The sequence below is a fragment of the Homo sapiens genome, chromosome 12 (assembly GCF_000001405.40).
Source record: "Homo sapiens chromosome 12, GRCh38.p14 Primary Assembly".
NCBI classification, from domain to species: Eukaryota; Metazoa; Chordata; class Mammalia; order Primates; family Hominidae; genus Homo; species Homo sapiens.
This window is the reverse complement of record NC_000012.12, coordinates 77254667-77278376: the sequence shown is the minus strand read 5'-3', so window position 1 is coordinate 77278376 and position 23710 is coordinate 77254667. Positions and strand designations below refer to the sequence as shown.

Below are 23710 nucleotides of genomic sequence, written 5' to 3'. Positions count from 1 at the left end.
ACAAAAATGACATGCTACCATTATGATTACACCTACTAATTACACTCACGGTTTGGGATTTGGAAGCTAATTATTATCTGTTCTTATTTTTAGTTAAGTATTAAGACTTGAAATTTCTGGTTGGATTATGAAATATTTCACGATCTCAAAACACTTTAGAAGTTAAAAACCCAATTCACTGATCTTCATTTCTAGATGTACTTCTTCCATCTCCACCTCAGCCACACATTCATCCTTGGTATCATGGAAGTGACTCTTATAACATCTCCAATTCAGACATCTAACTCTTTGATTACAACTTTCCCAACTTTGATGTTTTTTGTTCAACTATTCCTTTAAACTCATCAGGCCCTGAAGTCTAGGACACCAATAACATGCCTGCCAGTACTCCAAAGTCTCCTGGGCTTCCTGAGTTTTTGTTACACCACTTAGAAAAATACCAACACTAAGTCATCCAATTGTCATTTTTCCCATGTCTTCATCCACTTATCTGAATATCACTGGGAGAGTCACCCCGCAGAGCAATTTGTACCAGTCAAATTTCAAGCTTATCATCCTCAAATTGACTGTTAATACTGCCTGGGATTATTTCTGGATTTCTGTGGTATGCTCACCCCACCACGTTCTGAACTAGTTAAAACCTTCTCCACTCATCAACAAACTTCTAACATCCCCATTTCCCCTAAATTTGGTCTCAGAAGATGATCTCCCTTTTATTCCTTGGAGAGAAAATAGAATCCAGCCAAAGAAAACTCCTCTACCTCCCTGTATCAAATGTACAGATGTATCTAAACTCATTCTTTTATTCTTTCCTTCAACAAATGTTTGCTTATAGATTGCTTACCACCTATACTCCAGATACCATCCTAAAAACTACAGCTGTACCCACAAACAGGACAAAGCTCTCTCCCTTCAAGTTACCTACCAGTGAACAAATAATATAATTTCAGAGAGGGAAAAGTGCCATAAGGAATGCAAGATAGGATAACACAGTAGGCAATGATTAGGGATGGTTATAGGGAGTGAGACATAAGATACGGTGCTCAGGGAAAGCCTCTCTGAGAAGCTAGCATTTAAATTATGGCTGAAATGACTAAAGTCAGCCATGGGAAGATCAAGAGGGAAAAGGAAGACCAAGGTCCCAAAGAAGGACACATTTGTTACAGGTTCAAGGAGCCCAAAAAAGGAAGAAGAAAAAAAAAAGTCCATGTGGCTGGAGCATAAGCAGGAGAAAATGGTATGAAACAGTGCTCTGTTCACTCATGCCTTAAGCTACAAGAGAGAAGTAGATCTAGATGCATCTTTCTGTCTGGGTTTGGACCATGCCCTTTACTTTCCCAAGAACTCTCGCTACTAATGGACTACATCTGCCTCCTCTATATTCCTCTGAATCTTACATCTCTTTTCCATCAGCATTTAAACATGTTCATGACATTAATATCATAAAATGCATCCCCTTTTCTCCTCCAGATTCCTAGCCTATTCAAATTTCAAAGAATTTTTTATATTCATTATTCCCTTTCTTCCTATCCCACTCACTCCAGTTTGTTTTCATACCAAGCGTTGACCGAAACAGCTTTCTCTAAAGTCAAAAGTGGTCTCAATTTCACTTGATCTCCCACCACCATTTGACCCTGCTGACCTTGACCTTCTCCTTGAACTATTCTCTTCCCTTACCCTAATGACCCCATACATTTCTGGTTTTCTTTTTACCATCTAGCAGGTGGCTCAGTCTCAGTAATCTTCACAAACATGTCCTCCTTTATTCTCCCGGATACCAGTGGCATTAGAAACATCAGGAGGCCTGTTGCTGAGCATGTTTGCTGAGCCTCACCCCTGGGTTTATAATGCTTTAGGTCTATTTGCAATCCCAATAGATTCCCAGGGAATTCTCATGCTATTGGACAGGGAACCATACTTTGAGAATCACTGTGTTAAATATTATAGTTCCTCCAGGTTTTGTCCTATCTGCCCTCTCTTTCCACTTTCTACTTTTTCCATTGATGATTTCATGTATACCCATAGCTTCAGTTTCCACATTTTAATGACACAAAAATTTGTATATTCATCCCAGACTTCTTGGCTTAGATCTAGGTCTAATGGGAGTCAAAAACCTCCATTTATGTGCACCGAAGTTAGCCCAAACTCAATGTATGCCCCCAAATGAACTTGTAATAAACCAGTTACTTTTCCAGGGTTCTCTATCCATCTTCTTATGGAAGTCAGAATCAAGGAGTCGTCCTTAACACCTCCTTCTTATTTATTCCCTCCTCCATATCTAAAACTGTATTAATACCGGTGTATTTTACTTCCTAAATATCTCTCCATGAATTGTTCATGGCTCTCCAAGTATTTCATTACCATCCTTGTCCAACCTGCCGTCCTCTTTTCCTGGGCCACTGGCTATATCAATCTTCTTGCCTTCTTCAAATCCATTCTTCATATTAGTATTTTGTTAATAATATTTTAATATTAATATTTTACCCAAAGTGATGACATCAATAGGCTTATGACACCCCTCTGCCTAAATTTCAGTGGTTTCCTATTGTTTGTGGGATAAAAAATTCTTGTGGCCTTCATGGGTTTGGTGTCTGCCTATGTGTATTCATCTCCATCTTTATCTCATTTCATATCACACTCCTTGCTCTATGCTCTTCAACAGTTTTCAAAAGCACTGTGCTTCTTTGGGTCAAGACCTTTTGCACATTTCCTACTAAAAAGAGTTATCTTGCATTCTCCTTCTAGAATTCCTAGTCACTCCTCATATTCTCTGATTACCCTCCCCAGTTAAGGTCAGTTTCTTCTGTTACATGCTTTTGTAGTACTAGGTACGGTTACTTCAAAGCAATTTTCACAGTTTGCAAATATACACTTATTTATGTGGATGTTTCATTAAAATCTGTTTCCCTCTAGTCGTTAAACTCTATGGGTTAAGGGATAGACTCTGTATTTTCCCACTAGGACATCTCCAGGGCCTATCCAAAATTGACAGAGGAAAAGCCCTCAATAAATTTATGTTGAATTAATAAATACATGACATTGACTGTTTACTTTCTAAACAGGGAGTCTATCCTTGTTTTCCTAGAGAGCTTTGTTCTAAGCCTTGGGGGCCCTTCTTCAGTATTAGAATTTCATTAGCTGGCATCAGCATCTTAGTTATTGTTATGCAAAAACTACTAAGTGTGTATCCCCGAAGGCTGTATTTTGCTTAGACTCTCCTAGGAAATGTGACTGTGCACACAGGCTGTGGATATTTAATATTAACTGACCTCCTACTGTGTTGCTCAGAAAGCAACTTATGATTTGCCACCACTCTAATTTTCTTACTAATGTTGTATCATGACTTCCAAACCCTCAATGGGTTTCAGCAGCTGTTAGAGAATATAAGAAATAAAATTTGATTGTGCATACAAAATTGGCCTGCATATGAGACAAACAGCTTTGGTTTCTTTCCTCCATTTACTGTACTACAACTAGCTGAAATCTCAATCTCATTGGATTGCAAGAAACTGCAACAGCTTTAATTAATGCTTTTGCCACTGTTCCTATAGATTATTGCAAATGTCTGTGTGTCTCTCCAAACGTTGCATCTGAGGGTTCTGGATATTTCAGAGTACCTCCACCGTTGCTGCTGCAAGAGAGCTCATTAAAGCTTGTGTAATAAATGACCTCTCTGCTCTTCTTTCTCCAAGTTTAACATCAACAGGACCCATGCCGATTTCAGATCACATCCTGCTCCTTGTTTGGGAAATCTGTGCTTTTCTACAATTTATTTTTTGTGTTTCTAGTGATCAGTTTAAATTTCTTTTGCAACTACATCTTTTAGGTAATACATGCTATAAGCTTCTTGCATGCACTATGCCCAGAATACCATTTTAAGATTTGCTAAGCCACTTCATCAATTACAAATAAAACTTCAGCTATATGTTTTGAAAAACCAAACCTGATATTACTTTGAGAAATCTTTCTTTTTCCTAGTTCATGTTGGCTTGTTTAGGAAAAATATATGAGAACTATAAAATGCATTATTTAAATTTTCAAGTCTTCTGTAGCAACCCTTTTTCAGTCCAATTAGGACCAATAGGTTGTGAAATGCCTAGAGCAAATCCATTACCACTTAACTACTTCTCTTCTGGATCTATATTGCACTGACTGACAGAAGATTCAATCACCACATATTTGATGGGGACTAATGATTTGATAATGCATTCATGTGTCAGATGTCAGGTATACAGTATGACTGTGAGATGTGCAAAGAAGAAAAGAAGAAATGTTTGCAAATGTCTTCCTCCCTCCTCTCCCCAGGGTAGTGTCACTAGCAGAGCAATCTCCAGTTCATATGGGTGGTGACAGAAGAGGGATCCTGCAGCATCAAGGGCTCCTTTGCAATGATTTCTGTCTAGATGGCAATCATGAGGGGCCTTGTTTTTCTGCTTTGTGTGTGAGTGGGAACGTGTGTCAGCATCAACCTTGCATTTATCAACAACATCCTCATTTTTGTTTGGCGAGGTGGTGAGGGATCCATGCAGGAGGAAATGAAGTGACTGCATTTATCTCAATGTTCCCAAGGGTCAGGTAAGGTGCTCTCATGCTATGGTATATGACAAGGTGGGTGACATTTAATGAATAAATAGACAACCTTTTAGAGGAATCAGTGCTGCTTCTCACATGAATCAATGACCGAGTCAATTGTTATAAGATCCAAGATAGATTACATTAAAGTAGGAGGTAGGAAGGTAGAACTGGCAGCTGCTCAGAGGTAGAAATAAATGTCTCTCATTTTTTCTCTATCTCTCTATCTATCACTTTCTCTGTCACACACACACATATACACAAACAAATATATGAACAAACACAAATATACACCCTTCCCTTTTCTCTGAATTATTATAATTTAGTTATACTACTTAATCTTGTCATCTTTAAGTTAGAAAGTACAAAGCAATAGCAGTTTTGAGCTATAATCACAAAGTAATATGGCTGAATTTTTAACAACCATAATGAATGTTTACATTATATAAACAAGTTTTGCCTTCTTTAAGAAAGGGAGCCACATGTTTATTTCAAGGACTCTATTGGCTAGTCTTTTGCAAATTCTTACTTTGGAATGACCTTTAGAACCTGTGGCATATTTTTTTTTTTAATATTGTCCAGAGTGGCATTTCTTCAGGGTAGATCTCATTTGTAAATATAGACAAAAGTCATTCAGAGCTGAGTTCAATGACTAAAAGTAGATGACCAAACTGGGTGATCAAATCTAGGCTCCACGCTGAGGTGCACTTCTAAGATAAGGTGCCTGATTTTCCCATGTGGGCTTTTTGCCTATACTCTTGCCCACCCACCCGCCCACCTAGGGGAGCAATGGACACCTACCAATGGTCATAGCTCTTCTCTAATCATACTCCTCTGCCCTCAGCTTGTTTAACAGTATTTCTCAACTCCATCTCATCTTCATTCTACTCCAGACTCGTAGATCTTGAATCCAGCATTTGATTCTACCTCTGAGTCTTTGAACCAGGTGTTAGCAATGATTTTCCCAATGTTTGAACTACTACTTTTCCAAATAAACTCTGACTTTAAATTTTTCTCTTGTCTTTGAATGCACTGTGTTTACTGACAAAGACTACACTACCTTGCTCCTTCTGAAACCCAGACACCAACATAAGCCATGTGGCTCAAATCCTGAGAATTCCACTGTTATGAGTGCAATTCCGAAAGATGTGTTTCAGAGCTACTTTAACACTATTACTATTGGAATCATACATAATAAGCATAAACCCTTCCAAGGTGACTACTCTTAATGATAATACTCCCTTGAATGAATATATTCTGATATAAATACTTTACTTTTTTCAACTTTTTATTATGAAAGATTTTATACATTTTTGTTCAGCTTTGACAATCAACTTTCTGCTGTTCTTGTTTTACCAACCCCCTTCAAGTTTATTCCTGGAGTATTTTAAAGAAAATGCTATATTATTTGAAATCCATATTATTTCTCCTAGAAATACTCTGGCAAATTATCTCTAACAGATAAAAGAAAATTAAAGAAAAACTAAACACAATTCTATTATTGAGACAGCCAGGTAGGAGGGGGTCCCCAGAAAAACTCCAACTGGCCAGTGCCTTGAGAATGCGCACTGCGGTGGAGCCTAAGAAAGTTTGCGCCCTTTGCCGTGGGGAGGAGCCTGGCCCCCACTCCTCTTCCTGTGTGAAACCTGGAATTCAAGCTGTGGGCAGGAGCGTTCTACCAGGGACTCTGGCTTTGCGGAGGATCGCTGTTTCACCTTTTTTTCCCTTTTCACCCAATAAAACCCTGTCTTACTCACCCTTCAACCCATCTGCAAGCCTAAATTTTCATGGTCGTGGGACGGAAAAGGACCTCGTCTTTAGCTGAACTAAGGAAAAGTCCTGCAACATTATTATGCCCAACAAACTTTCAAAAATCTTTTTAATATTGTCAACATTCTAATCCACATTCAGCTTCCCTAGTTATCTCAGAACTGTCCTTTTAGATGTGGTTGTTAGGATCCAAACAAAGTCCACACATCGCACTTCTCTCTGAAGATTCTTTTAATCTTAACCAATAGGTATTTTTGCTTTAAATAATAAAATATGTACAATTGTATACATTGCTGTCATAAATTTAAGTTTCATAGCTAAACTATAAAGAGAAGTTTTGCTTTGTATATATATATATATATATGTAAGAATTTCATGGTTGCATTGAGCATTAAATTCCTCTATAAAGCACTGAATTTCCTTCATCAGAGGCTAAAGGAATCAAGTTCCTCAGTCTTACTAAACAGAGTGGGCATAGTGTTCCAATTCAAACTTCCCCTCCTTGACGTCAAATTCAAGATTAGATTTTAATTTCATAAAATGATAATGTATAATTTCTATAATAAATTTAGTATGTACAGAAAACGTTTGCATCACTGTCTCATATTTTCCACTATAAGCTTTCAAAAGGAGAGTTTTTTCAATGATAGCTGGCTCTTCATTGCATTATTTTTCTGTTTCTCTATTGCCACATAAACCTGCTAACTCAACATTTTGTAGAAAAAAAAAACATTTCAAAATAAAGTCATGTTTTCCAAAGCACTATCCAAATAATAATGTCCTTTAATTTATAAAATAAAAGCACAATAAAATTCAAATTCCTTGTCACTGGCTTTATAAGAAAAGATATACATTTGTGCTATCTTCTTATATCTCTAATGAGCATAGTCCTACTCCTGGGTCTTATTTGAAATCCATTTTTGTTTCTATTTAGTGTGGTTTCTCAGTAGCAGTAAGGGAGGAGACCACCCCTCATATTGTCTTATGTCCAGTTTCTGCCTCCAAAGAAATAAGAAGTGAAAACTAAAAGGCAGAAATGAAATCCACAAGCAGACAGCCCAGCGCCACACCCTGGGCCTGGTAGTTAAAGATGGATCCCTGACCTAATCAGTTATGTTATCTATAGATTACAGACATTGTATAGAAAAGCACTGGGAAAATCCCTGTCCTGTTCTGTTCCATTCTAATTACCTGTGCATGCAGCCCCCAGTCACGTACCCCCGGTTGCTCAATCGATCATGACCCTCTCACGTGGACCCCCTTAGAGTTGTGAGCCCTTAAAAGGGACAGGAATTGCTCACTCAGGGAGCTTGGTTGTTGGAGACATGAGTCTTGCCAAAGCTCCCGGCCCAATAAAGCCCTTCCTTCTTTAACTCGGTGTCTGAGGGGTTTTGTCTGTGGCTTGTCCTGCTACAGTAGCATAAACTATGAAAATAGATTCAGAAAAAAGTGCTATAAAAAATTTATAGTAAGGAAAATCTTAATTGGAAACCATTATAATGTAATACTGCCTTAAAAATTGGCATTCATTCAACCACATATCTCAGTGCATTAATAGAATTACTTTGTCATGATTTGAAAATTCATTATTGAATCATTTTAAAGCTAGTATATAAAATACACAAATGCAGCCTAGAAATAACAGGTTAATATAGTCTTGCTTCAGATGGAACTAATTGTATGTTCAAGTTATTCTCCACAAGAAAAAAAAAAACTGAAGAATTTAATTGAGCATTTGGAATAGCAAAAGAGAAAGTTAAGGTATTTAGGAGTAGACTGCCACAAATAACATTCCACAGCATTAGCATTTATTTGTGCAGCAAACAGTCTCCTATTGAGCTTGACTGACTTAGCTTCTTAAGGCAATCATCTTCCTTTGCTTTAAAAGAGATTTAAACCTGGCTATAGAAAGTATTCCAATCAGGTAACTGCTAATAAAAGACCCAATTCTATAGCTCACATTCCCATGTGTGTACCCCATTGACATCAATATTAAGGTTTTAGATATGAAAATCCCCTATCTTCTTAAGTAACATTTATAAGAATAGCTACCCAATATTCAAAGATTCCTTTTCATATTATAAACCAGTAAAGCATTCCACTAAAAAGCTGTAACGATCACTTTCCAGAAGAAAAATCCATCCTTTGTTGGTAATGGAAGCAACTCAACAGAGAAATGTACATTAATATTTAATATCTGGACTTAAAACTCCTGCCCAAGATCTGAATGGCAAAAAAAAAATTATCAGAAATAACAATTTTGAGAATTTCTTCAATTACAATAAAAATTCCTTTCTAAAAATCCCTAGAAAGAATTCAATGTACTTACTTTCTCAATGAGTCTTCCTGAAAATTGTGTCAAAATAAATTGTGGTAGTCAATTTGTGTTTTGGTGCACATGGATATTGATTTTTGCAGAGATCTCAGGGTAATTCCTTTTGTAAACCAAAAAAAAAAAAAAGTTCTCTATTGCGTGAATAATGATCTGTGAGATTGCCTTGTGAGTTTCAGTCTTTGTAGCACAGGTTTTTCTAAAAGAAGGCTATACTTATAGTCTTCAACACTGTTCACAGATAGATAATGAATTCTGCAGATTATTTAGAACAGCTGGCCAACTGTGGCTTCCCCACCTGAGACCTCAGTAGGTTACTAGGGCATGACAGCCAGGAAAAGCACCAACAGAGACTCAGAACGAAGAATAACGAAATAAACGGCCTTGTTTTTCTAAGCATTTACCTCAATACTTCCCAAAGGTAAATATGATTTATTCTTATAGTTTCTGTTATTTTGAAAAATCTGGTCTAATTTGACCATTCCCACAACCCTTCCAATTAATATTGACAATAGAATAAGCCACACTGTGTCCAATGGCACATGCTTTTTTTCTTAGTCGAGTTATTTATTAGGTTTTAAAAATTTAAAGTATAATATTGAAATTAAATAACTTCTTAATATATTAAATATTACAGAAGTTAAAAGACATTTGTGGGAGATTATGCATAGTTGCTTATAGTACACAATAAAAAGAAAAGTAATTTATAGATTTTTTAACACTAGCTCTTAAGTTTTTGGGGTTTTTTTTAAGAAAATTAATCATATTCTACAGAAAGACTATAAAATATTAGCTCTCCCCAATCCCCACCAACAAAATAGAATAATCTCTTTAGCAACTAGACAGGAATGACAAGACAAATTGATTCTGATTGTTTTCTACCATGGTTTGGACAGAACATGTCATTTCCCCTACTGTATTAAAATTTGTTTCTTTCTTTTAATTTCTTGCAATACACAGAAGAGGCCCTTTATTAGTCCATTTGCATTGCTATAAAGGAATACCTGAGGCTGGGTAATCTATAAAGAAAGGCATTTAATTGGCTCATGGTTCTGCAGGCTGTACAGGGAGCATGACGTCAACATCTGTTCAGCATCTGGTGAGGCCTCAGGGAGCTTTTACTAATAACAGAAGGCAAAGCAGGAACAGGCATGTCACATTATCAGAGGTATTTGAACAAGAGCGACTCCATCTTGAATAAGGGCTGGGTAAAATAAGGCTGAGAACTGCTGGGCTGCATTCCCAGTAGATTAGGCATTTTTAGTCACAAGATGAGACAGGAGATCAGCACAAGATGCAGGTCACAAAGACCTTGCTGATAAAACAGGATGCAGTAAAGAAGTCAGCCAAACTCACCAAAACCAAGAAGGCAATGAAGGTGACCTCTGTTCATCCTCACTGCTCATTATACACTAATTACTATGCATTAGCATGCTAAAAGACACTCCCACCAGCACGACTGTTTACAAATGCCATGGCAACATCCAGAAGTTACCCCATATGGCCCTTCCTGGAGAAGAACAAAGAAATACCAGTAAGTTGTCTTCATCACTTTCTCTATTTCTACCATGGACTATTTATTCTTTCCATAAGATATTAAGATATTTTATCAAAGTTATCTGGGAATAACAATGCTAGGTATACATCTGCAAATTCCATAACCCTATTAAGTTTAAATTATATTAAAATATCATTCAGTAGAATATTGACAACCCACCATCACCCATAAAAGAAATTCTTCATTGTAGAATTCTGAAGCCATGATTAAGCAGGACATGAAACATAAAACAGCTTTTGTTTTTATTGTTCAATGAAGCAAAACTCACAAATGATGACTAGAATATCCTAAGGAAAACTCCCTTCAGTGCAAGGCCATTTCTCTTCAGTTGGTAGCACTTCTTTCCTTCTGTTAACAGATGGCTAGGCTTTAGGCCTTCCTGATGGGCTGGCACTAGCCTTGTCCAACATTTAAAAAGAGACAATATTATTTTGCCTATAAGGACTTATACCAGAATACATACATATATATATACACACACACATATACATATATATGTTATATCTATACACATACATATATATGTTATATCTATACACATACATATATGTTATATATACACATACATACATACTTATACATATATACACATACATATACACATACACATATGTTATATATAATATATATGTTATATATAATATATAACTATATATGTGGATATATATACACATACATATATTTTATATATAATATATTATATATTATATTATATAATATATAATATATATATTATATTATATATATAATATAATATATTATATATATAATATATTATATATATTATATATATATTATATAATATAATATATATATAATATATTATATTATATAATATAATATATATTTTGTATATAATATATATTTTCTATATATAATATAGAAAAAATACATACAAAAATATATAGGAATTGGCCATTCCTATATATACTATAAAAGCTGCATTCTTAGAGCTGCTATTCTAGGAAGTTCACAGAGGCAATACATCTTGGTGTTCCACTGAAGTGCACATGAACACAGATACCAGCAGTTTCCACAAATATACCTCAACATGACGATGCACAAAGCAACCAAGGCAGAGCAAGGCACTACCCAAAACCACATCATCACAGTTCGAATGTTGCATCCTACATTTCTAGATAAGCTTCTTTACTTTCTGGTCCAGATGAAAACAATATTCTTCCATTAGATTTCAAAATGACTGGATTAAGAAAATGTGGCCCATATACACCATGGAATACTATGAAGCCATAAAAAATGATGAGTTCATGTCCTTTGTAGGGACATGGATGAAATTGGAAATCATCATTCTCAGTAAACTATCGCAAGAACAAAAAATCAAACACCGCATTTTCTCACTCATAGGTGGGAACTGAACAATGAGAACACATGGACACAGGAAGGGGAACATCACACTCTGGGGACTGTTGTGGGGTGGGGGGAGGGGGGAGGGATAGCATTGGGAGATATACCTAATGCTAGATGATGAGTTAGTGGGTGCAGCGCACAAGCATGGCACATGTATACATATGTAACTAACCTGCACATTGTGCACATGTACCGTAAAACTTAAAGTATAATAATAATAAATAAATGAATAAATAAAAGAATATATGCGAGGGATTTTGTTTTAAAATTCTACTCAAGAGAAACACAAATCGAAAGTCTATATGAGAGAAAAGAGTGGGATGTTACATATGATGTCACACAAGACGTCATTTTTCACAAATGTTCCATGTGGTAATTCTATGTGAGGGCAATGGTGCCCTTTTAAAATGTTATTAAAAGTCAGAACGCTGCTGATCCAATGGAAATATATTCCCTTTGTACGTTAACTTATTCTCAGTTGACGTCTTCTCCAATCAAGGCAACTTGTTAATCTAGTAATGGGAAATTTAAAGGCACTGTATGTTGCTTAAAATAATGCCTAACAAATTATCCCTGACACATACATTGCATGAGCGCCCCCTAAAATATATGAAGGTTTAGAGCAAGAGAAAAATAAACAGAAACACTGAAAACAAGACCAAATAATCACTCTGCTTCCAGAATCAGGGAAATATATTTTCCACAAAGTCAATGGAACCAGATTGAAAGACCAAATCAGTGGCCTACCCAAGTTGCACCCCTAGAAAAGGGCAGACCTGCCTTCCTGTAAGTAGGTATGTGATGCTTTTCCATCTTCTATCTTTCCCCTGGTTCAGAAATACAAAGTTTTTCTGCATGCAGAAAACTAAGTAGTCATCTTTCTGTCATACCCATTCTCTATCATATGGATAGATATTGGGGGGAAAAAAAGTCATTGTTCTTGCTTGTGTTGCCTACACATCATATCCCATATCGAAATGGAAATTGCAAATATGAAACTACAGAGTAGAAAGCTGTGGGCAGAGGTCAGATGTGGTAATAGTCCTGGGAATCAAAAGATAGTTCAAAACATGAACCCAAGAATAGTAATAAAGCAGATGAGAACTAAACCAGTTAAACTGTGACATGTATACATAATAATAGATTTGGTTACAAAACTGAGTCTAAATATCAATGATAATACTTTTTAAAAATACATGTTATCAACAATTTTTATAAGGACCATTTGGGTTTTAAACTATAGGCTATATAAACAAAGAAACAGAGGAGTGAGAACAATTGCTTAGGTCCCCAACCTTGGAAACATCCTTGGCTTTTTTTCACTTACTCACCATATGTAATTCATTAGCAAACCCTGTTGGTCCTACACACCTTCAAAATCTATCTAGACTCTGAGAACCCCTTTGAAAATGTAAGTCAGATGTTGTCAGTTGCCTTTTCCACATCTTAAAATTGTTTCCCATCTCAGAGTAGAAGTCAAAAGTCCTACAGTGGTCATAAGACTCTATAAAGTTGACCCTTACTTAATTCTCCAGTCTCATTTACTACTCTCCCTCACACTTACTCTGTGATTGGACATGCCAGGGTGCACTTCAGACTCAACATCCTTGTACATAATGTAGTTTTGCCTAGAATGCCCTTCTTGATATCTACATAGCTCTGTCTCATAGCCACTGAGTGCAGTTGTGAGGCTTTCCACATAATTTGCATGAATGGCAGCCTTAAAATTAAGCAGAGTATGTATGACCTGCACAATTGCATGTGGTGATTGATATGGTTTGGCTGTGTCCCCACCCAAATCTCATCTTGAATTCCCATGTGCTCTGAGAGGGACCCAGTGGGAGGTAATTGAATCATGGGGCAGGTCTTTCTCATGCTGCTCTCATGACAGTGAATAAGTCTCACAAGATCTGATGATTTTATAAGGGAGAGTTTCCTTGCACAAGCTCTCTCTCTTCGCATGCTGCCATCCGCATAAGATGTGACTTGCTCCTCCTTGAGGTTCACCATAATTGTGAGTCTTCCCCAGCCACATGGAACTGAACGTCCATTAAACCTCTTTCTTTTGTAAATTGCCCAGTCTCAGGTATGACTTTATCAGCAGTGTGCAAATGGGCTAATAGTGTAAATTGGTACCAGGAGTGGGTGCTATTGAAAATATACCCAGTGGTTCCAAGATGGCTGAATAGGAACAGCTCCAGTCTACAGCTCCCAGCATGAGTGACACAGAAGACAGGTGATTTCTGCATTTCCAGCTGAGCTTTGAAGAGAGTAGTGGTTCTCCCAGCATGGAGTTTGAGATCTGAGAACGGACAGATTGCCTCCTCAAGTGGGTCCCTGACCCCCGAGTAGCCTATCTGGGAGGCACCCCCGAGTAGGGGCAGACTGACACCTCACACGGCCGGGTACCCCTCTGGGACGAAATCTCCAGAGGAACGATCAGACAGCAACATTTGCTGTTCAGCAATATTCGCTGTTCTGCAGCCTCCGCTGTTGGTACCCAGGCAAACAGGGTCTGGAGTGGACCTCCAGCAAACTCCAACAGACCTGCAGGTGAGGGTCCTGACTGTAAGAAGGAAAACTAACAAACAGAAAGGACATCCACACCAAAACCCCATCTGTACGTCACCATCATCAAAGACCAAAGGTAGATAAAACCACAAAGATGGGGCAAAAATAGAACAGAAAAACTGAAAATTCTAAAAATCAGAGCACCTCTCCTCCTCCAAAGGAATGCAGCTCCTCACCAGCAACATAACAAAGCTGGACGGAGAATGACTTTGACAAGTTGAGAGAAGAAGGCTTCAGACGGTCAAATTTCTCCGAGCTAAAGGAGGAAGTTCGAACCCATCGCAAAGAAGTTAAAAACCTTGAAAAAAGATTAGACGAATGGCTAACTAGAATAACCAATGCAGGGAAGTCCTTAAAGGACCTGATGGAGCTGAAAAACATGGCATGAGAACTACGTGACGAATGTACAAGCTTTAGTAGCCGATTTGATCAACTGGAAGAAAGGGTATCAGCGATTGAAGATCAAATGAATGAAATGAAGCAAGAAGAGAAGTTTAGAGAAAAAAGAATAAAAAGAAATGCACAAAACCTCCAAGAAATATGGGACTATGTGAAAAGACCAAATCTACATCTATTGGTGTACCTGAAAGTGACGGGGAGAATGGAACCAAGTTGGAAAACACTCTGCAGGATCCAGGAGAACTTCCCCAATCTAGCAAGGCAGGCCAACATTCAAATTCAGGAAATACAGAGAATGCCACAAAGATACTCCTCAAGAAGAGCAACTCCAAGATACATAATTGTCAGATTCACCAAAGTTGAAATGAAGGAAAAAATGTTAAGGACAGCCAGAGAGAAAGGAGGGGTTACCCACAAAGGGAAGCCCATCAGACTAACAGCTGATCTCTTGGCAGAAACTCTACAAGCCAGAAGACAGTGGGGGCCAATATTCAACATTCTTAAAGAAAAGAATTTTCAACCCAGAATTTCATATCCAGCCAAACTAAGCTTCATAAGTGAAGAAGAAATAAAATACTTTAAAGACAAGCAAATGCTGAGAGATTTTGTCACCACCAGGCCTGCCTTACAAGAGCTCCTGAAGGAAGCACTAAACATGGAAAGGAGCAACCAGTACCAGCCACTGCAAAAACATGCCAAAATGTAAAGACCATCAAGGCTAGGAAAAAACTGCATTAACTAATGAGCAAAATAACCAGCTAACATCATAATGACAAGATCAAATTCACACATAACAATATTAACCTTAAATGTAAATGGGCTAAATGCTCCAATTAAAAGATACAGACTGGCAGATTGGATAAAGAGTCAAGACCCATCAGTGTGCTGTATTCAGGAAACCCATCTCACATGCAGAGACACACATAGGCTCCAAATAAAGGGAGGTAGGAAGATCTACCAAGCAAATGGAAAACAAAAAAAGGCAAGGGTTGCAATCCTAGTCTCTGATAAAACAGACTTTAAACCAACAAAGATCAAAAGAGACAAAGAAGGCCATTACGTAATGGTAAAGGGACCAATTCAACAAGAAGAGCTGACTATCCTAAATATATATGCACCCAATACAGGAGCACCCAGATTCATAAAGCAAGTTCTTAGAGACCTACAAAGAGACTTAGACTCCCACACAATAATAATGGGAGAATTTAACACCCCACTGTCAACATTAGACAGATCAACGAGACAGAAAGTTAACAAGGATATCCAGGAATTGAATTCAGCTCTGCACCAAGCAGACATAATAGACATCTACAGAACTCTCCACCCCAAATCAACAGAATATACATTCTTCTCAGCACCACACCACACCTATTCCAAAACTGACCACATAGTTAGAAGTAAAGCACTCCTCAGCAAATGTAAAAGAACAGAAATTATAACAAACTGTCTCTCAGACCACAGTGCAATCAAATTAGAACTCAGGATTAAGAAACTCACTCAAAACCACTCAACTATATGGAAACTGAAAAACCTGCTCCTGAATGACTACTGGGTACATAATGAAATGAAGGCAGAAATAAAGATGTCCTTTGAAACCAACAAGAACAAAGACACAACATACAAGATCTCTGGGACACATTTAAAGCAGCGTGCAGAGGGAAATTTATAGCACTAAATGCCCACAAGAGAAAGCAGGAAAGATCTAAAATTGACACCCTAACATCACAATTAAAAGTACTAGAAAAGCAAGAGCAAACACATTCAAAAGCTAGCAGAAGGCAAGAAATAACTAAGATCAGAGCAGAACTGAAGGAGATAGAGACACAAAAAACCCTTCAAAACATCAATGAATCCAGGAGCTGATTTTTTGAAAAGATCAACAAAATTGATAGACCGCTAGAAAGATTAATAAAGAAGAAAAGAGAGAAGAATCAAATAGATGCAATAAAAAATGATAAAGGGGATATCACCACCAGTCCCACAGAAATACAAACTACCATCAGAGAATACTACAAACACCTCTACACAAATAAACTAGAAAATCTAGAAGAAATGGATAAATTCCTCAACACATACACCCTCCCAAGACTAAACCAGGAAGAAGTTGAATCCCTGAGTGGACGAATAACAGGCTCTGAATTTGAGGCAATAATTAACAGCTTACCAACCAAAAGAAGTCCAGGACCAGACGGATTCACAGCCGAATTCTACCAGAGGTACAAAGAGGAGCTGGTACCATTCCTTCTGAAACTATTCCAATCAATAGAAAAAGAAGGAATCCTCCCTAACTCATTTTATGAGGCCAGCATCATCCTGATACCAAAGCCTGGCAGAGACACAACAAAAAAAGAGAATTTTAGACCAATATCCCTAATGAACATCGATGCAAAAATCCTCAATAAAATACTGGCAAACCGAATCCAGCAGCACATCAAAAAGCTTATCCACCATGATCAAGTGGGCTTCATCCCTGGGATGCAAGGCTGGTTCAACATATGCAAATCAATAAACATAATCCAGAATATAAAGAGAACCAAAGACAAAAACCACATGATTATCTCAATAGATGCAGAAAAGGCCTTTGACAAAATTCAACAGCCCTTCATGCTAAAAACTCTCAATAAATTAGGTATTGATGGGATGTATCTAACAATAATAAGAGCTATTTATGACAAACCCACAGCCAATATCATACTGAATGGGCAAAAACTGGAAGCATTCCCTTTGAAAACCAGCACAAGACAGGGATGCCCTCTCTCATCACTGCTATTCAACATAGTGTTGGAATTTCTGGCCAGGGCAATCAGGCAGGAGAAAGAAATAAAGGGTATTCAATTAGGAAAAGAGGAAGTCAAATTGTCCCTGTTTGCAGATGATGTGATTGTATATCTAGAAAACTCCATCATCTCAGCCCAAAATCTCCTTAAGCTGATAAGCAACTTCAGCAAAGTCTCAGGATACAAAATCTATGTGCAAAAATCACAAGCATTCTTATACACCAATAACAGACAGAGAGCCAAATCATGAGTGAACTCCCATTCACAATTGCCTCAAAGAGAATAAAATACCTAGGAATCCAACTTACAAGGGATGTGAAGGACCTCTTCAAGGAGAACTACAAACCACTGTTCAATGAAATAAAAGAGGATACAAACAAATGGAAGAACATTCCATGCTCATGGGTAGGGAGAATCAATATCATGAAAATGGCCATACTGCCCAAGGTAATTTATAGATTCAATGCCATCCCCATCAAGCTACCAATGACTTTCTTCACAGAATTGGAAAAAACTACTTTAAAGTTCATATGGAACCAAAAAAGAGCCCAGGCCAGGCCCAGGGTCCCCATGCTGTGTGCAGCCTAGAAACTTGGTGCCCTGTGTCACAGGCATGGCTGAAAGGGAACAACACAGAGCTCAGGCCACAGCTTCAGAGGGGGCAAGCCTCAAGCCTTGGCAGCTTCCATGTGGTGTTGAGCCTGCAAGTGCACAGAAGTCAAGAATTGAGGTTTGGGAACCTCTGCCTAGATTTCAGAAGATGTATGGAAATGCCTGGATGCCCAGGCAGAAGTTTGCTGTAGGGGCAGGATCCTCATGGAGAACCTCTGCTTGGATAGTGCAGAAGGGAAATGTGGGGTGGGAGCCCCCATGCAGAGTCCTTACTGGGGCACTGCCTAGTGAATCTGTGAGAAAAGGGCCACCATCACCCAGACCCCAGAATGGAGGATCCACTGACAGCCTGCAAAAGCCACAGACACTCAATGCCAGCCTGTGACAGCAGCCAGGAGCGGGGCTATACCCTACAAAGCCACAGGAGCAGAGCTGCCCAAGGCCTTGGAGCCTACCTCTTGCATCAGCGTTACCTGGATGTGAGGCATAGAGTCAACGGATATCATTTTGGGGCTTTAAGATTTGACTGCCTTACTGGATTTTGGACTTGCATGGGGCCTGTAGCCCCTTTGTTGTGGCCAATTTCTCTTATTTGGAATGGCTGTATTTACCCAATGCCTGTATCCCCATTGCATCTAGGAAGTAACTAATTTGCTTTTGATTTTACAGGCTCTTGTCTCAGATGAGACTTTGGACTGTGAACTTTTGAGTTAATTCTGAAATGAGTTAAGACTTTGCGGGGCTGAAGGGAAGGCATGATTGGTTTTGAAATGTGAGGACATAAGATTTGGGAGGGGCAGGGGCAGAATAATATGGTTTGGCTGTGTCCCCACCCAAATCTCTTCTTGAATTCCCATGTGTCATGGGAGGCACCTGGTGGGAGGCAATTGAATCATGGGAGCAGGTCTTTCCTGTGCTGTTCTCATGATGGTGAATAAGTCTCACGAGATCTGATGGTTTTATAAGGGGGAGTTTCCCTGCATAAGCTTTCTCTCTTTGCCTGCTGCCATCCATGTAAGACCTGACATGCTCCTCCTTGCTCTCCAACATGATTGTGAGTCTTCCCCAGTCACATGGAACTGTAAGTCCCTTAAGCCACTTTCTTTTGTAAATTGCCCAGTCTCAGGTATGTCTTTATCAGCAGCATGAAAACGGACTAATACTATGGTCCTACTCAGTCTCTCATCTCTAGGTCTTTGTTCAAAGTTACCTTCTCAGGAAAACATCCCTTGACCATCCTATTAAAAATGAAATATTTATGATAAATGTTCAAGGTAATGGATAGCCCAGCTAACCTGATATAATCATTATACATTGCATGCAGTTATCAAAATATCACATGTACCCCCAAAATATGTACAAATATTATAGATCAATCAAAATATGTTTAATGCAAAACTTATCCAGAAATTCCCATCCCCCTTATATGCCTCATTTTCCCCATAACATTTATTCGACACACTACGATATTTCATTTAAGATGTCACTAATTACAAGGCTTACCATTTTAAAAATATTATACCAAAGAAGACATGTCCAACTAAACTATGATATATCATCAGTTATTAAGAGGCATCCTTATCTCAAAGATGATAAGTTGTGGCCAAAAAAAAATGTATTTCTTTAAATCCATGAAAGTTTGTTTTATTTACCTGTTTTATTACTTTGTTTTATTTCCTGTTTCCCCCATTAGAATTAAGCTCCAAGAAGGTAAGGACTTTTATCTTTATTTTTTACAACTTTAACAGTGCCTAGAGAAATATGATATGTATCAACAATTATTTTTTGATTAAATGAATGAAAGTAAGTAAAAGTGGTTTGAAGTCCCCATTTTTCATAGGGAAAAATTAAAAGATTTACTTCAAACATTTATAATTGTCTATAAATAGAAATTGAATAATTGGTTTAGGTAACATACTATGTAATTCAAGATTTAGATGATTAAAAGGCACAATACTCCATAAAGATTTGAAAATAATGAACCTTAACAGACTGCATGGTATAACCCCATACACACACACACACACACACACACACACACACACACACACACAAGTAGTTGAAATACGAGAAAAAAAGACAAAAATACAGTTGTTGAGAGAGACTTTTTAAAATATACTTCTTTCTACCTTTGATATATTAAAAAAGATAGAAAATAAATAATACAATTAATTGGCTCGAACAAATAGTTATAGAGTTAACCATGTAAAAATCTTTATTTTCAAATGTCAAGGTGATATATTTTTTAATGTTCATATTCTTGTCAGTCACAAAATATAGTCTAAATAGTTAAACTACATAGCAAAAGTCTGAAAACAAAATAAATAAGGCAACAAAAAGAATGACAGAAAGGAAGAAATATATCAGATATATATATATAAATAGTTTAAATTTCTTGAATATTATATCTACTATTTGTAGATAATGAATCTTTTTTCCTCCTTCAATGAGAGTAGGTTTTATGATTTGTCCCTTTTTATCTTTTATTTTTTTTACTGTCACTTATTTTTTATCACTTATTATGTTTTCATCTTTTATTATTATAACATACATTTATTATTGAATTAACTTAGAAATATATAATATATGCTAACTAAAAATGTCCAGTACATGCTAACATAAGACATACAAAAGAGAAAGACACAGAAAACTTGCAAATGAAAACCTGAAGAAAATAAATAAGAAAAACAAAGAATAACAACAAAGATAACAATAAAACAAACCAGTGGAGAGCAGAATTTTTAAAAAGTAAAACTAAAAGCAGAAATAAATTATTCAAAATACAGCAGAACAATAGGATAAAAATTAGAGTCTAAGAGCTGATACTCGGATGAGAGGAATTGAACAGATAAATCTGTTCATTCTAAAATTTAAAAGGGAAAGGAAATAAACAAGGAGAAATTGAAGGGAAATAGAAAGCTAAACAGACCAGATTGCTGGAAGGGAGGGTGGCAAGTGGACTGATGCTAAAGCCATGGCTGATCTTGGAGCCTTTCCTAATCTTGAAACCAAGAGGTTCAGGTGTTAGTGGCCACTGGAGCAACAGGAAACAAGAAAGGCCTTGTGACCTGGCAAGGCAGGAGTTGCAGCTGGGACCACATCACAGACCTGGGAAGGCTATTTGATTTTATGCAACATGTGTCATCCCAGAAACCCCAAACCAACACATTAGCTTAAAGTGGTCCCAGAATGAAAAAAGGCTGAGCTTCCTGACAAAGGCAAGTCTTAATCTTCCATGTAGGATGGCTTCCTCCCAAGATTCTCACATACAAAGTCCCAGTAACCATGACTTCACAATCCAAACTTGCAAAATACATGAAAAAACAAGACTCACCCAGACAAGGGTCAACAGAAACAACAGCACCATACGGAATTAGACTGCCAAGAATTTCAGATATCAGAATTACTGGATATAAACTATGAAATAACTATGTTTGAAATAGGTCAGGAATAAAAGATAGAACAGCAAACAAGACAAAAGAACAAAAGATCACCTTATTTTTTAACATTATGGCAGATTCCATACACTAAATGATCCACTGATTGAAACAACTAAATGCTGGATACAATATAAAGAAAATATTTGAGCACATTCTCGCACTAGCACAAAAGCAAAGAATCTGCAGGTCTTCAAAACTCATTGAACATTGAAACCCTACAAGGAGAGTGACACCAAAACCAGCAGCTATTGCCCTGAAGATTTCTGCTGTTCCTCTAGACAAGCTGTGATTTCACTTCAATTCTGCGTGAGATTATCTGAGAACACAAGGTAGAGTCTTGGGCCTCTCGGAGTTAGGAACCTAGTAAATGATCCTAGGAAAACTTCTATTCCACAGGCTGCGCTTCAGTGTCATAATGAATTAGAAATAAACCCTTAATTCCAACTCAACTGCATGTCTTATTTTTACATTTTTCTTTATAGATTTTGTTCTTATATTTTACTTCATCTTTAAAATTGTCCAAATGAGAATACCTTTATTTTATAATTTAAAAAAGTATTTAACGTAATAAAGTTGTATGAAAGTTCTGATGAAAGAGATAGTAGAGCAGACATTTATAGTCGTTGCCTGTCGCTTTTCTCCCTTCTCTGGGTTACAGCCACAGGTTTTCCTTCAGGAGCTCTCCTCCTCCATTTCTAGTTTAACAGTTTGGGTGGAGATGACTGCCATCCCCAGTGCTTACAACAATCACAGCCAATTTAAAGTTGTCCAAGGCATTGGCCGAGGCAACCAATAGAGAGACACTCACTTTTGCCAAGGAAACAGGATGTAAATTCATTCGGAGCCACCGTAAGTCGCCTTGTACCACAGGGAGGGAAAGGCCTCCTGAAAATGGAGTCAGTGCAGAGAAAAGAACTAAGAGGTGGAGAAAGACGTAACATCATTTGCACCCCTGATTCCTGTTGTGTCTAAATAAGGACATATCTGGACAGCTCAGTTATGTATGTCAAAAAATTCTCCTGAATTCCCTAAAACAGTGTGAGCTGGGTTTTCTGTCACAGCACTTATCTGCAGCTGATACACACCCATACGGCCATGACCTTTGATTGTGGGACATCCTGATGAAGCAGTGCCTGATCCAGCAACCATTCAGATTGGTTACTACCCATATTATTCTGATTGTTAAAATATTTTAAACATAGCCTTTTCTTTTTATCAAAAGAGTTTGAATAATAAATTAGTGTTTAGAAACATAACTACATCAAGAGCAAGGGTAATGTTTCAGTGGACAAGAAGAGATTACACAAGGGCAAAAATTAAATCCATCTACAAAGATGTAGCTCGACAAACAGGTATTTTACCATCAAGCTATGAAAAGACACCAAGCCACCATCTCAGCCTGAGCAAATCATTTTGCCTCTTGGAGTATGTTTCCTCTTCTGTATTGAATGGGCATAAAAAATGACTGCCTTGCTCATCTTATAACACCGTAAGTATTAAATCAGTTACGACCTATAAAAACACAGTCTGCGTAAACTATTCTATGTGAGGAAATAAACGCAAGAGAATGCTTCATAAATGTAAAGTATTATTATTCTGTTTAATTCTTCCATCTGATGGTTAGGTTATTTGTACTCCCTGTGTGTTGAAAGTTCAGTATCAACTCAGTTGCCACATTAAAAAAGAGGTACCTTATCATTATAGATGACAATAGCATTTGAATGCTTATTATCCTTAAAATCATTTCTATTGTAATTTTGTTTATGTATTTTCTTACTTGTTATCTCTTCTCATTATTCTCTGTAACACCAATCAGGAAAGTATAAAAGTTTACTTCTACCACCATCCTCCTTTTAAAAACATCCAAATCCTCTAAGCCACAATATGTTTTAACTTTGTTACATTGAATAAGGAGACTTCTTTTTTATGCTTTAATTTTTACGGTTACTTGGCTATTCTTTGAGTAAAAAGGACATTTGTATTTTTCTTAAAATGTGACTTATTTTTGTAGACATTTTGAAATATACACATAAAATATATAAAAAGGTTTATGATCACAATATCCAGAAATGATGAATAAATTTTTAAATTTTTAATTAAAGGGATATTGAATGGGCTATCTATGTTGTAAAATATTTTCCATATTTAAAACATCTTTCTATATTAAGTGCTACTACAAGGGAGTCTCTGAGTCATGTCTTAATATAGCATTGATTACCATCATTGTTTTCACTTTATTTAGCCCACAGGATATCTCATTCTAGGAAATAAACTAGGTTTTATATCAAAGGATCAGTCACACTAGACTGTC

The 23710-nt window shown here is 37.2% G+C and overlaps 1 long non-coding RNA gene across 6 annotated transcripts in view; it reads left to right on the top strand.

The window, feature by feature from the left end:
- Positions 1–23710, top strand: part of LINC02464 (long intergenic non-protein coding RNA 2464) — a 97632-nt gene that overhangs the window by 38858 nt on the left and 35064 nt on the right. For 2 of the 6 annotated variants that reach the window (NR_187545.1, NR_187546.1), the window contains one exon: positions 4306–4575. The exons of the other annotated variants lie outside the window; for them this stretch is intronic. This is a non-coding gene — a long non-coding RNA (long intergenic non-protein coding RNA 2464). The remainder of the gene's footprint in view (positions 1–4305; positions 4576–23710) is intronic. 6 annotated transcript variants of the gene reach the window in all.